General features: G+C 50.1%; 1 protein-coding gene across 9 annotated transcripts in view, besides 4 other annotated features; it reads right to left on the reverse strand.

The window, feature by feature from the left end:
- Positions 985-21,554, reverse strand: part of P2RY8 (P2Y receptor family member 8) — a 74,605-nt gene continuing 54,035 nt past the window's right edge. For 6 of the 9 annotated variants that reach the window (NM_178129.5, NM_001424187.1, NM_001424190.1 and 3 more), the window contains one exon: positions 985-4,986. In NM_178129.5, the coding sequence (NP_835230.1) occupies positions 3,883-4,962 (1,080 nt within the window). In that variant the 5' untranslated portion in view covers positions 4,963-4,986 and the 3' untranslated portion in view covers positions 985-3,882. Of the gene's footprint in view, positions 4,987-5,434; positions 6,127-6,905; positions 7,075-19,378; positions 20,514-21,554 lie in introns of those variants that run through there. The other 3 variants (NM_001424188.1, NM_001424186.1, XM_005274778.4) reach the window with 3 other exon arrangements.
- Positions 4,900-5,400: an enhancer, noted in NCBI's record as "H3K4me1 hESC enhancer chrX:1585389-1585889 (GRCh37/hg19 assembly coordinates)". NCBI's record gives its function as "activates a minimal SCP1, AML or CMV promoter by ChIP-STARR-seq in naive H9 embryonic stem cells {active_cell/tissue: H9 hESC(naive)}" and the evidence as "EXISTENCE:reporter gene assay evidence [ECO:0000049][PMID:30033119]".
- Positions 19,332-19,500: a silencer, noted in NCBI's record as "fragment chrX:1599821-1599989 (GRCh37/hg19 assembly coordinates)". NCBI's record gives its function as "represses an EF-1alpha promoter that drives an FKBP-Casp9 reporter gene in an ReSE screen in HepG2 liver carcinoma cells {active_cell/tissue: HepG2}" and the evidence as "EXISTENCE:reporter gene assay evidence [ECO:0000049][PMID:32094911]".
- Positions 19,966-20,677: an enhancer, noted in NCBI's record as "OCT4-NANOG-H3K27ac-H3K4me1 hESC enhancer chrX:1600455-1601166 (GRCh37/hg19 assembly coordinates)". NCBI's record gives its function as "activates a minimal SCP1, AML or CMV promoter by ChIP-STARR-seq in primed H9 embryonic stem cells {active_cell/tissue: H9 hESC(primed)}" and the evidence as "EXISTENCE:reporter gene assay evidence [ECO:0000049][PMID:30033119]".
- Positions 20,174-20,673: an enhancer, noted in NCBI's record as "OCT4-NANOG-H3K27ac hESC enhancer chrY:1550663-1551162 (GRCh37/hg19 assembly coordinates)". NCBI's record gives its function as "activates a minimal SCP1, AML or CMV promoter by ChIP-STARR-seq in primed H9 embryonic stem cells {active_cell/tissue: H9 hESC(primed)}" and the evidence as "EXISTENCE:reporter gene assay evidence [ECO:0000049][PMID:30033119]".

The raw sequence follows: 21,554 nt of genomic DNA on the forward strand, positions 1-21,554 counted from the left end.
CTCCCGGGTTCAATCGATTCTCCTGCCTCAGCCTCCCGAGTAGCTGGGATTACAGGCATGCACCACCACACCCGGCTAATTTTTGTATTTTCAGTAGAGATGGGGTTTCACCATGTTGGTCAGGCTGGTCTCGAACTCCTGACCTCAGGTGATCCACCTGCCTCGGCCTCCCAAAGTGCTGGGATTACAGGTGTGAGCCACTGTGCCTGGCCTGAAACTCCTCTCTCTCTCTCTCAATCTCTCTCTCTCTCTCTCTCTCTATCTATCTAATATATCTACTATCTGATCTATCATCTATCTATCTATCTAATCTATCTATCTGATCTATCTATCTGATCTATCTACTATCTATCTATGTAATCTATCTACTGTCAATCTATCTATCTAATCTATCTACTATCTATCTAATCTATCTACTATCTACCTATCTATCTAATCTATCTACTATCTATCTATCTAATCTATCTACTATCTATCTAATCTATCTACTATCTATCTACTATCTAATCTATCCACTCTCTATCTACCTATCTAATCTATCTACTATCTATCTATCTAATCTATCTACTATCTATCTACCTATCTATCTAATCTATCTACTATCTATCTAATCTATCTACTATCTATCTATCTAATCTATCTACTATCCATCTATCTATCTACTATCTAATCTATCTACTATCTATCTATCTATCTAATCTATCTACTATCTATCTAATCTATCTTCTATCTGTCTGTCTGTCTGTCTGTCTATCTGTCTGTCTATCTATCTATCTATCTATCCTATTAGTTCTGTCCCTCTAGAGATCTCTGAGTAATGCAATGGTGTTTTGTTTGTTTGGTTTTTTGTTTGTTTCCAGCAGGATAAATGGACCAAGACAAGGAGCCTATGAAGAGGATAAGACATTGGATCCAGCATAAAATGGGATCTGTGTTTAAAATGCAAGCCCTGCAGAAATCAGAGACAGAAACACATTTGCCCTGTGCACTTCAAAGCTCATGTTTTTTTTTAATGTTTTATTTTTATTTTTTACAGAGATGAGTTCTCACTGTGTTGCCTAGGTTGGCCCTTGAACACCCGGACTCAATCAGTCCTCCCGCCTGAGCCTCCCAAAGTGCTGAGATTACCGGCATGAGCTGCCACGCCTTGATGGAGGCTGAGACTTTTTGGAATCCCTCCCTCTCTCCATGTCCTGCCAAGAACAGAAGTAAAGTTTTCCATCTTAAAACATGTGTGTGAGTCAATAGACCTGTGTTATCTTTTCACTCAAAGCTCAACCAGTGAACAGACTGAGTCAGCTTCCAGGAAACATCCACGGCTGTAAGAGGGGGTGTCGGCTGCTCTCCATAGCCAAGTGGCTGCAAAAATCATCATACTGACAAAAAAAAAAAATCGACGCATTTTGCCTGCTTGCAACGTCTTCCTTTGCTGGGGGACGTCAGGGTTCTCGCACGTTGTCGAGGAAGGATATTGTCTCGGCTTCCTCTGACTCAAGCTCTCATTTTTGTTTACAAGGCAGTTTAGGGATCGTCCGTGCGTTACTGTGAAGATGCTACTCTGAGGTTTTTCACAGTTTTTTTTCCCCCATGAGACACACCCAAGGCCCACGCTCAGCACTTGCGACCTGTACTCCTGCAGCCTGGATGCTTCTGTATCAGCTTTGCTTTCTAGGGTTCAGCTTTGGAACAGTCTAGAGAAGCAGGAGGTTAATTTTCCTCCTTCTGTGGAAGTTCTGGGTCTCTTACGCATCCTCCAGTTCCCCCTGGAGGCTCTAGGGGAGGATCCTTCCTGCCTCTCCCAGCTCCTGGGGGCTCCAGGTGTCCCTGGGCTTGTGGCCGCATCACTCCAGTCTGCCTCTGTCTCCACGTGTCCTCCTGCTCTGTGTCTGTGTCTCCTCTTCTGTCTCTTGGAAGGACACCTGTCATGGCATTTAGGGTGCTTAATAATCCAGCACAATCTCATCTTCATATCCTTAAGTAATTACACATGCAAAGTTCCTTATTACCGAATAAAATCTATAATAATTTCAGGTTCTGGGCTTTAAAACAAGACATGTCTTTCTGGGGCAACTGTTTAGTGCACTCTGCAATTGTATCCAGTTCCCTCCAGAGACTCTAGGGGAGGGTCCTTCCTGCCTCTCCCAGCTCCTGGGGACTCCAGGCATCCCTGGGCTTGGGGCAGCATCACTTCAGTCTCTGCCTCTGTCTTTATGTGGCCTCCTGCTTTGTGTCTGTGTCTCCTCTTCCGTCTCTCATAGGGACACTGGATTGGGCCCATTGTAAATGCAGTATGGCCTCGCCTTACTTAATTACATTTGGAAAGACCCGATTTTCAAACATGGTCCCATCCTGATGTTCCAGGTGGACACGGGTTTGGGAATGATAATTCATTACTAAACCATCTCTGTTTTCCTGCCATAGTGATGACGGCAGGAGAGAGGCACCAATAGAGGGCCTCCGAACAGCAGCTTCAGCCTCCATCAGCGTCCCCAGTGCACAGAAAGGGAGGGGCCGGGCATCCAAGGCCACCCACTGCGGAGACGCAGAGCCCGTGGGCAGACAGGCAGCTCTCCCACTCCCACCTCCAGAATGGTCTTTCTCGCCCAAGAGAGCCTGGGATCCAATTCCACGTGATGTCCCAGCACCCCTGGAGAGTCAGAGCTCTTCTTTGCGCTAAACCAGCTCAGGTGTTGGGGCTGGTGCAGGCACATGCCGTGTAGAAGAAGACAGACAAAGACCCAGCCTGCTCACCACCCACACAGCAGGGAGGGGGCTCAGCGGCTGACACCCCTGTAGGTTCCTGGGGTCCACACCTGCATCTGCTGCTTGGTCTCCAAACGGTCTCATGGGTCAGGCCAGTTGCCTGCTTCCTGGACTCCAGATGGACTTGCCATGGCTGAGGCTCTCCATGGGGTAAAAGGACGCGGAGAATGGGCAGGAGGTGGGGAACTCCCGAATCAAGCTGCACCCTTGTGTTGGGATGGGCTGGACCCCATCTCACGGAGCCTCCTTTCCGCACCTGGGCCTCCCGTGGTCCTTGTCCTGAGTCAGGGAAGCCTGAGTGTGTTCCAGGGGCCTGATGGGACCTCCTTCTCTATCAGGGACTCACAGAAGCAGAATAGGGGTGGGGTCCCACCAAGCCAGGCCAGAACAAATGTGCCAAAAATCACCTTGGTCAGCAACAGGGTGGGGTGTGTGTGTGGGGGGAAGTGGGCACGGAGAGTAGCTGACTTGCAGGAGCCCCAGGCGCTCCTCTGAAAGAAGAATTCCAACCACAGCAACCACAGTGCCCCTGAGTGAAATAAACAGAAATTTCGGCGTGCACCGGGCTACGGAGACCAGAACCCCTGGAGGAGAATGGAGAAGGCCAGAACCACAACTAAGGGACGATGTCAGCAGGGAGAAGAGCTGGGAATGGGGCTCGCAGTTCGCCCACGGAGGATATCCAGAAACCGAGTCGGGTAGGCGGTGGGGCTGGTTGAATATCCACCCTCGGGTATGGACAGGTGTGAGGAGTGTCTAAGGAGCTCGGGGGTGACAGCCCAGCTCTACTAAAAAAAATACAAAAATTAGCCGGGCGTGGTGACACAAGCTGTCCCCTGACACAGAGAGGCAGAGGCACCCTCTGCAGGATAACAAGCACCCTGTGCGCTGCTGGGCTTTGCTTGTTTCTCTACCCTGAGTGAAGCCTGGAGACCCTTCCTCACCGGTGCCTCTGCAGTGCCTGGGAGGAATAAAGCCTGGAGACCCTTCCCCACCGGGCCTCTGCAGTGCCTGGGAGCAACGCAGCTGTTCTCCCTGAACCTCTGGCACCGTGGCCTCTCCATGCGCCCCTGGATCTCCAAGCTGCGCCCCCGGCTCTCCAAGCTGCGCCCCCGGGACTCAGAACACACTCTCCTGCCTCTGGAGGCCGGGCCTGGTGGCTCCCTCCATCCCTTCAGGGTGCGCACCGGCCTCGGAGCGCACGGACGTGGTCCTGGCGGAGAAGAGGCTCTCGCGGCGCGTGTCCAGGGTGTCTCTGGGCACCCGGCGGCAGCCCAAATATTCCCGCAGGCGCAGCTGGAATTCCCGGGACGCAAAGTAATAAACAAACGGGTCCAGACAGTTGTTGAGGCAGCTGAGACACAGCGTGAGCTTGTACACGTGGTAGTAGCTCTTGCCGTAGAACAGGCGGCTCACGATGTGCGCCAGGAGCACGAAGTTGTTGGGGGCGAAGCAGGTGACAAAGGCCAGCAAGACCACCGCGGCCAGGCCCACCGCGCGCCTCCGCTGCTCCCGGCCGTGCGCCTCCTCCGTGCGCAACAGCTTGAGGATGGTGGCCGTGTAACAAGCCACGGTGATCACGAACGGGATGAGGAACAGCAGGATGAAGATGGTGAAGAGGAACACGGCCCACATGGCCACGCTGGGGAGCATCGTCCACTTGAGGACGTCGAAGCAGGTGATGATGCCCAGGGCGTGCACCGGGTAGGTGAGATCGGTGCGCGCCAGCGGGGACAGGGCGGTCAGGAGCAGCAGCCAGGTCCCTGCACACGCGGCCACCGCGTAACGACGGCGGCGCCAGCGCTTGGAGCTGAGCGGGTACAGGACCCCCAGGAAGCGCTCCACGCTGATACAGGTCATGGTGAGGATGCTGGAATACATGTTTGCGTAAAAGGCCACGGTCACCACGTTGCAAAGCAGCACCCCGAATACCCAGTGGTGGCGGTTGCAATGGTAGTAGATTTGGAAAGGCAACACGCTGGCCAGCATCAGGTCCGTGACGCTCAGGTTGATCATGAAGATGACCGACGGGGATCTGGGCCCCATGCGCCGGCACAGCACCCACAGAGAGAAGAGGTTGCCCGGGATGCTGACCGCCGCCACCAGCGAGTACACCACGGGCAGGGCCACCGCGATCGCCGGGTTCCGCAGCATCTGCAGCGTCGCGTTGTCCGGGCCGGTGCTGTTCGGGACCTGCATCCTGGAGGGGTCCTCGCCCGGGCTCTGCAAGGGAAGGAGGGAAGGGTGTACGGGTCAGGGGCGCAGGTAAAGAGGCGGCTGCCGGGAGGGCTCCTGAGCGCCGCTCCCCGGGGACCAAGGCGGGGGAGATGCTTTAGCAGGGCCTGCTGTCTCCTCCCTCCCTCCCTCCCTTAGTTCCTCCTTCCCTCTCCTCCTTCCTTCCCTCCCTCTCTGCCTCCTTTCTTCACCCTGTGTCATTCTTTTCTTCTTTCCTGTCTTCTCCCCTTTCTTCTTCCTTCCTCCTCTCTCCTTCCTTCTCTTCTTCCCTCCTTCCTTCCTTCCTTCCTTCCTTCCCGCCCTCCCTCCCTCCCGTCCTTCCTTGGATCAGGGAGGTCATTGGAGACCTCGGCCCACGTCAGAGGCTGAGACTCTTAGATGATCCACAGTGGGGCTGTGGCTCCCCTGGGCAGGTTGAATGCATTGTCATACAAACCTCAAGACTCAGTGTCCCCCGTGGACGGAAACCACAAAGCCACCGTCAGCCCCCAGGGTGGTCTTAATGGGAATTCTTGACACCCTGGCAGTATTAGTCTGGGTATGAGTCCTCTCATCTCAGGGGCATCCACCCACAAAGTGTCTATCAGCAGAAAACACACACTCCGAGTGCCAGGAGACCAACCCGCAGCCTCCAAAGTCTTTCCAGCTTTTAACACCCGCGTCAACCCACGGCTCCTCCCTGCTCTTTCTTCCTCCAGAGGAGACCTGCGACTTCTTACCAACTGCTCTACAAACAGCTTCCTCAAGCTGGCTTTAAAATGGCCCGGAGTTTTCGTTTCAGTTTCAGGGAGAAGTTTTCTGACCCGCCGGTCCGTGCCCAGGTGTGAAACCTACAGTTATGCACGAGTCAGCACCGCTCCCCACGGCCAGCTGGGCACCTCCAGCCACCTATGGCTTCAGGAGGAAAAGCAGACCCTTCCTTCTTTGGGTTCCGCTTGGTGTGGCCGTGGGGGACGTCTGGAAGGAGAGACGCTTTATCCATGAGCTGGTGATGAAAAAGTGTCTGTCAAAGGGACACTACTTTTATTTTGAGAATGTAAAGTGGACAGAGCTGGAAACAGGGGTGCCCTGGAATTGTTCTTTTGTTTGTTTGTTTTATAGATATGGGGTCTTGCCTTGTTGCCCAGGCTGGAGGGCAGTAGTGCAAACGTAACTCACTGCAGCCTCCAACGCCTGGCCTCAAGCAATCCTCCTGCCTCAGCCTCCTGAGTAGTTGGGACTACAGGTGAGAGTACAACCACGCCCAGCTAATATTTTTATTTTTTGTAGATACAGAGTTTTGCTATGTTTCCCAGGCTGGTCTCAAACTCCTGGCCTCAAGCAATCCTCCTGCCTCAGCCTCCTGAGTAGCTGGGACTACAGGTGACAGTACCTCCGTGCCCAGCTAACATTTTTATTTTTTATAGATACACAGTTTTGCTACATTTCCCAGGCTGGTCTCAAACTCCTGGCCTCAAGCAATCCTCCTGAGTACCTGGGACTGCAGGTGCATGCCACCCTGCCCAGCTAATATTTTTATTTTCTGTAGACATGGGGTTTGGCTATGTTGCCCAGGCTGGTCTCAAACTCCTGGCCTCAAGCAATCCTCCTGCCTCGGCCTCCCAAAGCATTGGGATTACAGGTGTGAGCAACACACCTGGGCTGGAATTTGTTGCTTTAACTCTCCACGTAGGCAGCAGTGCCTCGCACACATTTAAACACCACGTGCTGTTGAAAGTCCTACGGTGGCGGCCTCACCCGGCCACCCTCGTGTCTGTACCTGTGTGGTCTGGGGATCCAGCAAGCAGCCTCTTGGCAGCCAGATCTGTTGCCATTTCGAGTCTGTGCCCTGTGGCCACCGGACAGCCCCCGGGGAAGACAGACAGCCAGGACTGCTGAGGAACGCGCATGACTAATCAAGAAATTACCTCTAACTGATGCCAGCTGCCCTGACACAGGAGGCACAGGCTTGCGGTTTGGGCCCCGCCGGGGCTCAGCGGGCAGGATGGAAATTTTAGAAAATCAGCACAACGGTTGTTCTTGGCGGTGTCTGGCCTGCAGAGGTGGCTGTCCAGAAATTTCTGGGCACTGAATTGTCTGAAGCAACGGACAGACCACAGGTGGGCGCTCAGGGGCTGTAGGTGGGACCCTCCTCTCCTCTCTCCTCTCTCCTCTCTCCCCTCTCCCCTCTCCCCTCTCCCCTCTCCCTCTCCCCTCTCCCCTCCCCTTCCCTCTCCCCTCACCCCTCCCCTTCCCTCTCCCCTCACCCCTCCCCTTCCCTCTCCCCTCTCCCCTCCCCTTCCCTCTCCCCTCTCCCCTCCCCTTCCCTCTCCTTCCCTCTCCCCTCTCCCCTCCCCTTCCCTCTCTCCTCTCCCCTCTCCCCTCTCCCCTCTCCCCTCTCCCCTCTCCCCTCTCCTTCCCTCTCCCCTCTCCCCTCCCCTTCCCTCTCCCCTCTCCCCTCCCCTTCCTTCTCCTTCCCTCTCCCCTCTCCTTCCCTCTCCCCTTCCCTCTCTCCTCTCCTTCCCTCTCTCCTCTCCTTCCCTCTCTCCTCTCCTTCCCTCTCTCCTCTCCTTCCCTCTCTCCTCTCCTTTCCTCTCCCCTCTCCCCTCTTTTCTTTTCGCAGTCTGTCATCCAGGCTGGAATGCAATGGCGTGATCTCGGCTCACTGCAACCTCTGTCTCCCTGCTTCAAGCGATTCTCCTGCCTCAGCCTCCTGAGTAGCTGGGATTACATGCATGCACCACCACGCCTGGCTGATTTTTTACTTTTTGTAGCCCCAAAAAGAGTTTCACCATGTTAACCAGGCTGGTCTTGAATTCCTGACCTCAGGTGAGCCACCAGCCCCGGCCTCCTAAAGTGCTGGGATGACAGTCGTGAGCCACTGCACCTGGCCAGGTTGGACCCTTTTTCTTATGCTTTGCAGGTAAATGCACACCTGTCTGGCAGCAATGCATCCAGCAATGTTTCTCTCCTCTTGAGGGTCTGTGTGTATCTCCTCCAGCCCTCTCACTTATTTCTTCTTAAAACAGCTTTGCCAGCCGGGCACGGTGGCTCACACCTGTAATCCCAGCACTTTGGAAGGCCGAGGTGGGCAGATCACGAGGTCAGGAGATCAAGACCATCCTGGCTAACACGGTGAAACCCCATCTCTACTAAAAAAACAAAAAAACAAAAAAATTAGCCGGGCGTGGTGGCATGGTGGCGAGTCCCAGCTACTCGGGAGGCTGAGGCAGGAGAATGGCCTGAACCCGGGAGGCGGAGCTTGCAGTGAGCCGAGATCGCACCACTGTACTCCATCCAGCCTGGGCAACAGAGCGAGACTCTGTCTCAAAACAAAACAAAACCAACAAACAAAAAAACAGCTTTACCAAGACGTGAGTTACGTACCATAAGCTTTCACTCATTCATACAGTTCAATGGTTTTTAATATATTCACAGATGTGCAAACAACACCATAATGCAATTCCAGAACCATTTTTATCCCTAAACAAAACTCAGGACCTGGCCGGGCATCATGGCTCACACCTGTAATTCCAGCACTTTGGGAGGCCGAGGCAGGTGGATCACCTGAGGTCAGGAGTTCGAGACCAGCCTGGCCAACATGGTGAAATCCTGTTGTTACTAAAATTAAACAAACAAACAAACAAAAACAAATGGGCCAGGCGCGGTGACTCACGTCTGTAATCCCATCACTTTGGGAGGCCGAGGCAGGTGGATCACCTGAGGTCAGGAGTTCAAGACCAGCCTTCCCAACATGGTGAAACCCTGTCTCTACTAAAAATACAAAAAAAATTAACCGGGTGTTGTGGCACATGCCTGTAATCCCAGCTACTCCAGAGGCTAAGGCAGGAGAATCGCTTGAACCTGGGTAGGGGGCAGAGGTTGCAGTGAGCCGAGATCACACCATTGCACTCCAGCCTGGGCAACAAAAGCAAAACTCCATCTCAAAACAAAACAAAAACCCTTCAGAACCCCACAACTGCTAATCCTGTTCGTTCCTGTCCCCAGCCCCTGTGAACCTCAAATCTGCTTCCTGTCTCTGTGGATCTGCCTATTCTAGATATTTTATAAGAATAAAATTCTACAATATGTGGTCTTTTGTGTCTAGCTTCTGTCACTGAGCCAGGGGTCTTCAAAGTTCATCCACGCTGCAGCCTGGGTCAGAGCTTGAGTCCTTTCAGTGGGTGCATAATAGTCTACTGTGTGGATAGACCACATTCTGTTTATTCATTCTCCTGTGGATGGACATTTTTGTTCTTTCTGATTTTTTTTTTTTTTTTTGAGATGGAGTCTTGCTCTGTTGCCCAGGCTGGAGTGTAGTGGTGCGATCTTGGCTCAGTGCAACCTCCGCCTCCTGGGTTCAAGCAATTCTCCTGCCTCAGCCTCCCAAGTAGCTGGGGCTACAGGAACCTGCCACCACGCCTGGCTAATTTTTTTGTAATTTTTTTTTTGAGAGGGAGTTTCGCTCTTTTTGCCCAGGCTGGAGTGCAATGGTGTGATCTCGGCTCTCGGCAACCTCCGCTTCCCCGGTTCAAGCAATTTTCCTGCCTCAGCCTCTGGAGTAGCTGGGACTACAGGCATGCATCACCGCACCCAGCTAATTTTTGTATTTTTAGTAGAGACAGGGTTTCACCATGTTGGCCAGGCTGGTTGTGAACTGCTGACCTCAGGTGATCCACCCTCCTCAGTCTCCCAAAGTGCTGGGACTACAGACGTGAGCCACCGCGCCCAGCCCATTTTTTTTTTTTTTTTTTTTTTGTAATTTTAGTAACGACGGGGTTTCATCATGTTGGCCAGGCTGGTCTCAAACTCCTGACCTCTGATGTATGATCCACCCTCCTCGGCCTCCCAAAGTGCTGGGATTACAGGCACGAGCCATCACACCCAGCCCATTTTTTTTTTTTAATAATTTTAGTAGCGACAAGCTTTCATCATGTTGGCCAGGCTGGTCTCAAACTCCTGACCTCCCATGATCTGCCCGCCTCGGCCTCCCAAAGTGCTGGGATGACAGGTGTGAGCCACCGCGCCTGGCGTGTTCCTGATTCTTGGCTATTGTGCATAAAGCTGCTCTTCCCTCATTCCCAGCCCTGGGAACCCCTTTCTAAAGGGTTCAGATGCTGAGTGCAGTGATCACTACAGTCTTGTTCCGGGTGGACCTTACAGGGTTGGGATGAGAAATAGACAAAAGGCATCTCCTCGTGGGCAGCAGGGATTGCATGCCGGTGACAGACCCTTTTTTGCCAGCTATTGTCTTCTGGCTATAACCACCCCTCTTTCCTGAGTGCTGGGGGCTGTCCCAGCTGTTGAACACACAGGGGAGTGAGAGGCCCCAGCCCTAAGGAACCACAAGCCAGCCCCGTGCTTGTCGTCTGCTCTCCTTTCTGTTTTCTGGGGGTGTTTGCACCACCCAGTTTGTGGTTCTTTTGATAGGGCTGCCTCAGGAGGCCCTCAACCCCAAAGACAGCAAATGGCACTCTGTTGGAGCTGTGGATTTGGAAGACAAAACAGACGCTGGCTTCAATTACCTACTTTGATTACGTAGAAGGAAGTTGTCGTGGGCCACACCCTGGCTGATACTCTCGGTATTATGGCCATTTCTTACTTAGAAATAGGGTCTGCGTCTATGTCATTAGTGAAGTCAAAATGTGGTCATAATAGAGTAGGGAGAGGCCCTAATAAAATTCACTGGCGTCCTTAGGAGAAAGAGAAATTTAGGCACAGACACAGAGAGAAGGCATGGAAAGATGAAGACAGAGACGAGAGTGGATGGATGGGTAGATGGATGAATAAATGGATGGATGGGTGGGTGGATGGATGGGTAGATGCATAGATGGGTGGATGAATGGGTACATGGGTGGGTGGATGGATGGATGGGTGGGTGAGTGGATGAGTGCATGGGTGGGCAGATGGGTGGGTGGATGGATGGGTGGATGGGTGGGTGGGTGGGAGGGTGGGTGTGCGGATGAATGGTAGGTGGGTTTGTGAATGGGTGGGTAGGTGGGTGAGTGGGTGGATGGCTGGATCAGTGTTTAGATAGGATGTGTGGGTGGATGAATGGATGGGTTGATGGGTAGATGGATGGGAGGATGTATGGATGAATGCATGGATGGGTGGATGGGTGGGAGGGTGGATGTGTGGATGAATGGTGGGTGGGTGGGTGGATGTGTGGATGGATAGATCAGTGTTTAGGTGGATAGATGTGTGGGTGGATGAATTGATGGGTTGATGGGTAGATGGATGGGTGGATGTATAGATGAGTAGGTGGATGGGTGGGTGGATGGATGAGTGGCTAGATGGATGAGTGGGTGGATGGGTTGGTGGATGGATGATGAATGGATGTGGATGGGTAGATGGATGGGCGGGTGAGTGGATGAGTGCATGGGTGGGCGGATGGGTGGGTGGATGGATGGGGGTGGGTGGGAGGGTGGATGGGTGGATGAATGGTAGGTGGGTTTGTGAATGGGTGAGTGGGTGGGTGGATGGGTGGATGGATGGATTAGTGTTTAGATAACTGGAAGTGTGGGTGGATGAATTGATGGGTTGATGGGTAGATGGATGGGTGGATGGATGGGTGGGTGGATGGATAGATGAGTAGGTAGATGGATGGGTGGATGGATGGGTGGGTGGATGGATAGATGAGTAGGTAGATGGATAGATGAGTAGGTAGATGGGTGCGTGGACGGATGGGTGAATAGATGGATGAGTGGGTGGATGGGGGGTTGGATGGATGATGAATGGATGGGGATGGGTAGATGGATGCATGGGTGGATGAATGGTGGATGGGTTTCTGAATGGGTGAGTGGGTGGGTGGGTGGATGGGTGGGTGGATGGATCAGTGTTTAGATAGATGGATGTGTGGGTGGATGAATGGATGAGTTGATGGGTAGATGGATGGGTGGATGTATGGATGAGTAGGTGGATGACTGGGTGAATGGATGGATGCATGGATGGGTGGATGGATGGGTGGGTGGGTGGATGAATGGTAGGTGGGTTTGTGAATGGGTGGGTAGGTGGGTGAATGGGTGGATTGATGGATCAGTGTTTAGATAGGTGGATGTGTGGGTGGATGAATGGATGGATTGATGGGTAGATGGATGGGTGGATGTATAGATGAGTAGGTGGATGTATGGGTGGATAGATGGATGACTGGGTGGATGGGTGGGTGGATGGATGATGAATGGATGGGGATGGGTAGATGGATGGGTGGGTGGATGAATGGTGGGTGGGTTTGTGAATGGGTGAGTGGGTGGGTGGGTGGATGGGTGGATGGATGGATCAGTGTTTAGATAGGTGGATATGTGGGTGGATGCATTGATGGTTGATGGGTAGATGGATTGGTGGATGTATAGATGAGTAGGTGGATGGGTGGGTGGATGGATGGGTGGATAGATGGATGAGTGGGTGGATGGACGGATGCATGGATGAGTGGATGGATGGGTGGGTGGATGGGAGGGTGGATGGGTGGATGAATGGTAGGCGGGTTTGTGAATGGGTGGGTAGGTGGGTGAATGGGTGGATGTATGGATCAGTGTTTAGATAGGTGGATGTGTGGGTGGATGAATGGATGGGTTGATGGGTAGATGGATGGGTGGGTGTATGGATGGGTGGATGAATAGATGAGTAGGTGGATGGGTGGGTGGATGGGAGGGTGAATAGATGGATGAGTGGGAGGATGGGTGAGTGGATGGAGGATGAATGGATGAGGATGGGTAGATGGATGGGTGGATGGATAGATGGGTGGCTGGATAGATGAATAGGTGTATGGGTGTGTGGATGGATGGATGGATGGATGGATGGATAAGTGGGTGGGTGGATGGATGGATCAGTGTTTAGGTGGATGGACGTGTGAGTGGATGGATGGGTGGATAGATGGATGAGTGGGAGGATGGGTGAATGGATGTATGATGAATGGATGAGGATGGGTAGATGGATGGGTAGATGGATAGATGGGTGGCTGGATAGATGAATAGGTGTATGGGTGTGTGGATGGATGGATGGATGGATGGATGGATGGATGGATGGATGGATGGATGGATAAGTGGGTGGGTGGATGGATGGATCAGTGTTTAGGTGGTTGGACGTGTGGGTGGATGGATGGGTGGACAGATGGATGAGTGGGAGGATGGGTGAATGGATGTATGATGAATGGATGAGGATGGGTAGATGGATGGGTGAATGGATGTATGATGAATGGATGAGGATGGGTAGATGGATGGGTGGATGGATAGATGGGTGGCTGGATAGATGAATAGGTGTATGGGTGTGTAGATGGGTGGCTGGATAGATGAATAGGTGTATGGGTGTGTGGATGGATGGATGGATGGATGGATGGATAAGTGGGTGGGTGGATGGATGAATCAGTGTTTAGGTGGTTGGACGTGTGGGTGGATGGATGGGTGGACAGATGGATGAGTGGGAGGATGGGTGAATGGATGTATGAGGAATGGATGAGGATGGGTAGATGGATGGGTAGATGGATAGACGGGTGGATGGATAGATGAATAGGTGTATGCCTGTGTGGAGGGATGGATAAGTGGGTGGGTGGGTGGGTGGATGGATGGATCAGTGTTTAGGTGGCTGGATTTATGGGTGGATGAATGGATGGGTTGATGGGTAGATGGATGGGCAGATGTATGGATGGGTGGATGGATGGATGAGTGGGTGGATGGGTAGGTGGATGGATGGGTGGATGGATGGATGAGTGGGTAGATGGGTGGGTGGGTAGATGGGTGGATGGATGAATAGATGATGCATGGATGGATGCTTCTATCCACCATGAAATGCCGATTGTTTCCAGAAAATCACCAGAAGCTGCAGCAAAGCTTGGAACAGATTTTCCCTCAGAGCCCTAATGAGGAACCAACCCTGCCAATACCTTCATCTCAGACTTCTGGTCTCCAGGATGGGGAGAGAATGCATTGCTGTTATTTAAGCCACCACATCAGTGGTAATTAGTTATGGCAGCTGTCGCAAACCAATACACCGAGAAAAGAGAGGAAAAGTTTTAACCAACAGACTTCAAAGAAATTAGAGAAAGCGTCATCATACCAAATAAAAGAGAGGAAGAACCTTAAAAGAAAGATAAAGCATGAAAAGCACAAGATTATAGGATAAGAGAAAGAAATGAGGAACAAGCCAATGGGCCTCAGAAACTCAATGGAAGACAAGGATCTCAAGACTTGAAGATATAAAGACGGCACTGCAAAGCAATAACAACAACAACATGTATTCATGCAGTCCCCCTTTCTTTGGTTGACTTACTGTTGAGAAATGTCCAACACTAGCAGAGTGGAGCATATAGATTATGATGTGATTTGCCAAAGCCCAGGAGGAATGGCTGCATAGGACCCTCTCCTCACCTGCCATGGTTGCATTGAACCACTAGGGTAGGGAAGGAAGCAAGGCTCAGAGCTCCCTGCTCAAGCATCTCCCTGCAGGGGCCAAGACATCTTCTTGACCTTTGACATGTGGATCTATGGCACAGGGGCTGTCCAGAGCTCTCCATGACCCAGGCATCAGACCCCTTCCAGCTCCAGGAGGGAGGAGGTACAGGTATACACCTGGTGCTGACCTACAAGGGTCACAGGAAGAATCCAGCTTTGGGACACCTCCTATGACCAAGTTGTTCAGGATTTTACAATGTGGTCTCAGGGTCACTGTTAGTGCACCCAGACCTGTTTGAGCAAGAGTCCTTGATATCGATTTAGAAATATAATGGGTCGGCTGGGCACGGTGGCTCATGTCTGTAATCCCAGCACTTTGGGAGGCTGAGGTGGGCAGATCATGAGGTCAGGAGATGGAGACCATCCTGGCTAACACGGTGAAACCCCTTCTCTACTAAAAATACAAAAAAGAAAAAAAAAATTAGCCGGGCGTGGTGGCGGGTGCCTGTAGTCCCAGCTACTCGGGAGGCTGAGGCAGGAGAATGGCATGAACCCCGGAGGCAGAGCTTGCAGTAAGCCTAGATGGCACCACTGCACTCCAGCCTGGGTGACAAAGTGAGACTCTGCCTCAAAAAGAAAAAAAAAAAAGAAATATAATGGGTCATATAGATGTTTGAGAGGTAGCCAAGGGTGGCTGATGCCAGGTCTAGAAGAACAAGGGTCACCTAGAAGGCTTCCCCTACCCTCAAGAATAGTTGGAAATGTAGGAAACATCCCTGGTTGCCACAACTTAAGGAAGGATGCTACTGGGATCTGGTGGGTGGAGCCCAGGGATGGTGCTCAACACCCTACCATGCACAGGAGGGTCCCCACCACAGAGAAGCATCCAGCCTCAAATATCTACAGTGCTGAGGTTGACAACCTGGCATGAGCATAAGAACTTCACCGTCAGCCTGGAGCAGTGGCTCACACCTGTAATCTCAGCACTTTGGGAGGCCGAGGTGGGTGGATCACCTGAGGTCAGGAGTTTGAGACCAGCTTGGCCAACACGGTGAAGCCCCGTCTCTACTCAAAATACAAAAACTAGCCAGGTGTGGTGGCGGGTGCCTCTAATCCCAGCTACTTGGGAGGCTGAGGCAGGAGAAGCACTTGGACCTGGGAGGCGGAGGTTGCAGTGAGCTGAGATTGTGCCATTGCACCCCAGCCTGGGCGACAGAGCAAGACTGCATCTCAAAAAAAAAAAAAGAAGAAGAAGAAGAAGAAATTCACCATCTGTCTATCCATGAATCCATTTGTTGATCTAACCCCTGTCATCCATCTATCATCTATCATCTATCTATATCAATCGTCTTGCAACCCTTGATCTATCATCTATCTATATCAATTATCTATCAATCGATCATCTATCTACCTATCAATTTTCTCTCTATCAATTACTTATCTATCTAGCAATCATATCTATCAATTATGAATCAATCATCTTTCTATGGATCTTTCATCTATTCATATCAATTACCTACCAATCAGTTATCTATTAATTACATCTATCATCTGTGAATCAGTTATCTAACAATCACATATACGTGTTCATCAATCTATCAATTATTTATCTATGCATCAATTATTTATCCATTCAATAGTTTGCAAATGTGAATGATTCAGGTATCATAATTGGGAAGATGCGTCTGGCATCTGGTGGGTAGATCCCAGGGACACTGCTCAACACCCTACAGTACACAGGATGGCCCCACCACAGAGGATCATCTGGGCTGAAATGTCAGCAGTGCTAAGGCTGAGAAACCTGCCCTCAAGCAACTGTGTGACAAGAGCAGCCTTCAACAAACACACAGAGCTCAGGAGTACTTTCCAAAGAATGTCTGCAAGAGGCTTTCGGGGAGAGAAAAGACCCCAGGCAGATGTTCCTAGCAAGAAGCTGGTGTCGTGGAAAGGGACAGTGGTCTCATCATGGTTAGTGACCAGCTGTGGATGAAGAGCGATTCCTTAAAATGCCTGCACGTGCCCCTCATTGCCTTGCCGTCACGGACCTCCCACCCCATCACAGAGGAGGAGACCTGGTCTTCAGGAAGACAGATGGAACATGAGCTAAAGCATCTCTTGGGCCCCTGAGCTGGGGTGGGGTCAGACGTCAGAGCTGTGGCCAGAAGCAATAACAAAGAGAAGTTCTTGACTCATGTGGAACCTTCCATTGGTATCTCCTGTTTCCAATCCTAAGCATTTCTCTGTATGATGGACACCAATGCTTTTAAAATGAAAAATGGTGCTGGCAGGCGTATGTGTGTGTGTGTGTGTGTGTGTGCCCAGCAGGGAAGCAGAAATTATTACCAACATATCTTTTGCAAACAGGGATCATATAAACTAGAGAGATTGCAGAAGGCAGACTGTAGATAAGAGATTGCAGAGAGGTTGTAGGGTGACAGACAGGTCCTTTTGGGAGGGAGGAAGTAGGAAGAGAGTTGGTGGTTTTCAATATGGGAAGCTGAAGTGGCACAGGTATCTTTTATTTATTTATTTATTTTTTTGAGACAGAGTCTCGCTCTGTTGTCCAGGCTGGAGTGAAGTGGCACGATCTCGGCTCACTGCAACCTCCGCCTCCCGGGTTCAAGCGATTCTCTTGCCTCAGCCTCCTGAATATCTGGGACTACAGGCGCCTGCCACCATGCTTGGCTAATTTTTGTATTTTTAGTAGAGATGGGGGTTCCAGCATGTTGGCCAGGCTGGTCTCGAACTCCTGACCTTATGATCCACCCACCTCGGCCTCCCAAAGTGCTGGGATTGCAGGTGTGAGCCACTGCTCCCGGTACAGGTATCTTTTTATGTGAACATAGATAGCAGGGGCTGGGAAAACAGAGAAGCTAGGTGGTGGGCTCATGGTGCAAAGACTATCATGGAATATACCAGAAGCCTCCTGCCCCCTGCTGTCTGCCTTTCTGGTGGTCCCTCCCCACTGAACTGCAACTTATCCTAATAAAACCGGGGTTGATACCACCACTTCCAGGTTCCCACATTCCAAGTCCCCTCAGCCACAGAAGCAGATGCAACCTCTTCTGAACTTCCAGACACCATTGAGTTTTCAACTTTGGTTTAATTTTTAGATCTTCCAATTACAGAACACACACACACACTTGTTATGAGTAAAAGAATAAAGAGAAATAGAGAGCTCTGTATTCGTGTTTGTCTTTGGATCTTTCCCCTCCAGGTCCCACTTCCCTTCAGAAGTAACCTCTGGGAGTTCGTTTGCTCTGGAGCCTCCTTTCATACACAGGTAAGTTTTATTTTGCATAGTAGGACATACACCCGTCACCACTTTTGTGAATGTCTTGTGGTGTCTCTAACCATATGCCCCACAGTGAGGGGATTTGGATGGATCAACTCTGCTTCAGCCTGTGTGCTTACACACACTCCTCTGTAAGTATTTTTATGCATACCTGTGAGAACATTTTCTAGGATCGATTTCTAGGAGAAGATCTGCTGATTTGAAGGGTTTGCATATTTTAAATGGAATGCATGTATTAGAAAGGAAGTAAGATCTAAAATCAATAATTTAAGTTTCCACCTCGAGAAACTAGAAAAAGAAGAGCAAATTAAATCTAATGGAAGAAGAAAGAAATAAATCATAAATATTAGATTAGAGGAGAAATCAGTGGATTTGAAAATAGGAAATCCATAGAGGACAGAAATCAGTGCAATTGAAAACAGCAAGTCAATAGACAAAAATCAAAACCATAGGCTTGTTCTTTGAAATAACAATCAATGAGAGTAATAAGCTTCTAGTCAGGCTAACAACAACAAAGAATGAGGACACAAGTTACTAATACTGTAAATGAAAGAGGAGACATCACTACAGATCCCATGGACATTAAAAAGATCATAAAGAAATATTATAAACAATTCTGTGCCCATAAAATTGATCACCTAGATGAAAAGAACAAAAGGATAAAATCTGACAACTCACACAAGAAGAAACAGCCAATCTGAGTGAGCCTATATCTCTTAAAGAAATTGAATCGATAATTTAATAACCTTCCCAAACAAAAGGCTCCAGGCCCAGATGGGTTTACTGATGAATTTTCCCCAACATTTAAGGAAGAAATTATATTGATTCTCTACCATTCCTTCCAGAAGATAGAAACACAGGGAATATCACCAAATATCCACCCAATAAATTTCACCAATATGTGCTTACAGCTGATAGACAAGGGCAACACTCATTCTCACACCCTCATCAACAAGGGTGACAGCAACTAGCCTGAAGGGTGAGAGGTTTCAACTCATATTTTCATCACAGCAACAGAGGTTGACATGTTTCTTTCTTTTCTTTCTTTTTTTTTTTTATTGGCTGAGTCAGAGTTTCCCTCTGTCTCCTGAGCTGGACTGCAGTGGCACGACCTTGGCTCACTGCAGCTTGCGCTTCCCGGGTTTTTTTTTTTTTGAGACAGGGCCTTTCTCTGTCAACCAAGCTGGGGGCAGTAGTGCAATGACCGCTCACTGCAGCCTCGAACTCCTGGCCTCAAGAGATCCTTCTGTCTCAGCCTCCTGTGTAAGCTGGGACATGGATGAAGCTGGAAGCCATCATTCTGAGAAACTAACAGAGGAACAGAAAACCAAACACTGCATGTTGTCACTCATAAGTGGGAGTTGAACAATGAGAACACATGGACACAGGGAGGGGAACGTCACACACCAGGGCCTGTCGGGGGGTGAGGGGATAGAGGAGGGAGAGCATTAGGACAAATACCTAATGTAGATGACGGGTTGATGGGTGCAGCAAACCACCCTGGCACCTGTACACCTATGTAACAAACCTGCATGTTCTGCACATGTACCCCAGAACTTAAAGTAAAATAAAAAGAAAATAAAAGAACTTTTTTTAAAACAAAGAACCAGTATGCAAAATGTGCCAAAAAAAACTCTTAAGATTCAACCACTGGAAAAAAAAAAAACCATTTAAACATGGGCCACCTCACGAAAGATGCTTTGCAGGTGGCAAATTCACCTACGAAAAATCACTCCATGTCGTAGCTCATCAGGGAATTGCAAATTAATACCGCCGAGACATGCCGGCCGACAGGTCTCAGGGTGACTAAGATCTAGAGATACCAACAGATGAAGTACCGGAACTCTCATTGAATGCTGGTCACAAGAAGACGGTCCCTGCACCCTCTGACCTTTAGGTCACTCTGCAGCACGCAATACATTTTTTTTTTTTCTTGAGGCTGAGTCTTGCTCTGTGGTCCAGGCTGGAGTGCAATGGCACAACGTCGGCTCCCTGCAACCTCCGCCTCCCGGGTTCAAGCCATTCTCCTGCCTCAGCCTCCAGAGTAGCTGACAGGCACCTGCCACCACGCCTGGCTAAGTTTTGTGTTTTTAGCAGAGATGGGATTTCACTATGTTAGCCGGGCTGGTCTTGAACTCCCGACCTCAGGTGATCCACCTGCCTCGACCTCCCAAAGTGCTGGGATTACAGGCGTGAGCCACCGTGCCCGGCCAGGTAGTCACATTTTCTTCAAGCTTTGGGTTTAAGGGATCCCAGCTTTGGGCTTAAGGGATCCCAGCTTTGGGTTTAAGGAGCCCAGCTTTGGGTTTAGGAGAGTCCAGCTTTGGGATTAGGAGAGTCCAGCTTTGGGATTAGGAGAGTCCAGCTTTGGGATTAGGAGAGTCCAGCTTTGGGTTTAGTGGAGCTCAGCTTCCAACCCTCGCACCCTCAAAGTTCCCCATCTTTGTAGACCCAGTGACCCCTGTTTCTGTGATAACACCTGCCTCTGAACGAACTCTGTGTTCTACTGACTTCAAAGTGACCCACCAGCCCCAGTGAACTGGCAGCTGGCAGGCGTCAGGGGATAGAGGACCTGCTGGCGTCGGCCTCAGATCACAAGGCAAGAATCCTCCTAGCTAAGCACAAAAACGCGTAGGAAATGCTCTGAGCTCTGCCGCTGTGTGTTGATTTTCCTGTATTGCATCACCCAACGAAGCAGACCGTTTGCCCAGCGAGATTTGCATGCTGTCCTCCGCAGACGCCCCGTGGAGATTTTGATCTGCGTCTTCTGCAAAGGCAGCGGCCGCGTTTCTCTGATTTCTGTATCTCATTCTCAGAGTATATAGCACGGGGCTTCATCGCTGGCCAGAGAGCAGATTCTGAGAAACATAAGAAGCCCCTTTTTGAAACAAAATTAATTTGTGTGTGTGGTGTGTGTGTGTGTGTGTGTGTGTGTGTGTATGGGTGAGGATGTCTCAACAGCAGCAAAATCGGCCTCACTCTGGAAGGCAGGAAGCCACTGTACGTGGAATTAAGCTAATTAACATGAAATGCCATTTGGTGAAAAAAAAAAAAAAAACCCAAAGTGGTTGAGTGTGTGGCTCCTGCCCTGCTGCAAAAGAAGAGTGTGGAAATAGCACGTATGCTGAAATTTAAGCACTTCTGCCGTTACTGAGCCACAGTGCCCATGGTTTTAGCAGGTTATGGCAGACAGATTCATTTAACAGATGAGAGAGAGGTGACAGGAAGGTTCGCAGGCTTGACTTCCTAACAGCTGCTCTCTGTTTAAAGATCGTTGCTCTAGACATGAAGTCCTTGCCCATGCCTATGTCCTGAATGGTAGTGCCTAGGTTTTCTTCTAGGGATTTTATGGTTTTAGATCTAAATTTAAGTATTTAATCCATCTTGAATTAATTTTAGTATAAGGTGTAAGGAAGGGATCCAGTTTCAGCTTTCAACATATGGCTAGTCAGTTTTCCCAGCACCATTTATGAAAATGTGGCACATATACACCATGGAATACTATGCAGCCATCAAAAATGATGAGTTCATGTCCTTTGTAGGGACATGGATGAAGCTCGAAACCATCATTCTCAGCAAACTATCGCAAGGACAAAAAACCAAACACTGCATGTTCTCACTCATAGGTGGGAATTGAACCATGAGAACACATGGACACAGGAAGGAGAACATCACACACCGGGGACTGTTGTGGGGTGGGGGGACGGGGGAGGGATAGCATTAGGAGATATACCTAATGCTAAATGACGAGTTAATGGGTGCAGCACACCAACATGGCACATGTATACATATGTAACAAACCTGCACGTTGTGCACATGTACCCTAAAACTTAAATGAAAGATAAAATCAATTATTTTAATTTAAATAAATAAATAAAGATCGTTGCTCAGTGTGAGTT

This window comes from Homo sapiens, chromosome Y (assembly GCF_000001405.40).
Source record: "Homo sapiens chromosome Y, GRCh38.p14 Primary Assembly".
Lineage (NCBI taxonomy): Eukaryota > Metazoa > Chordata > Mammalia > Primates > Hominidae > Homo > Homo sapiens.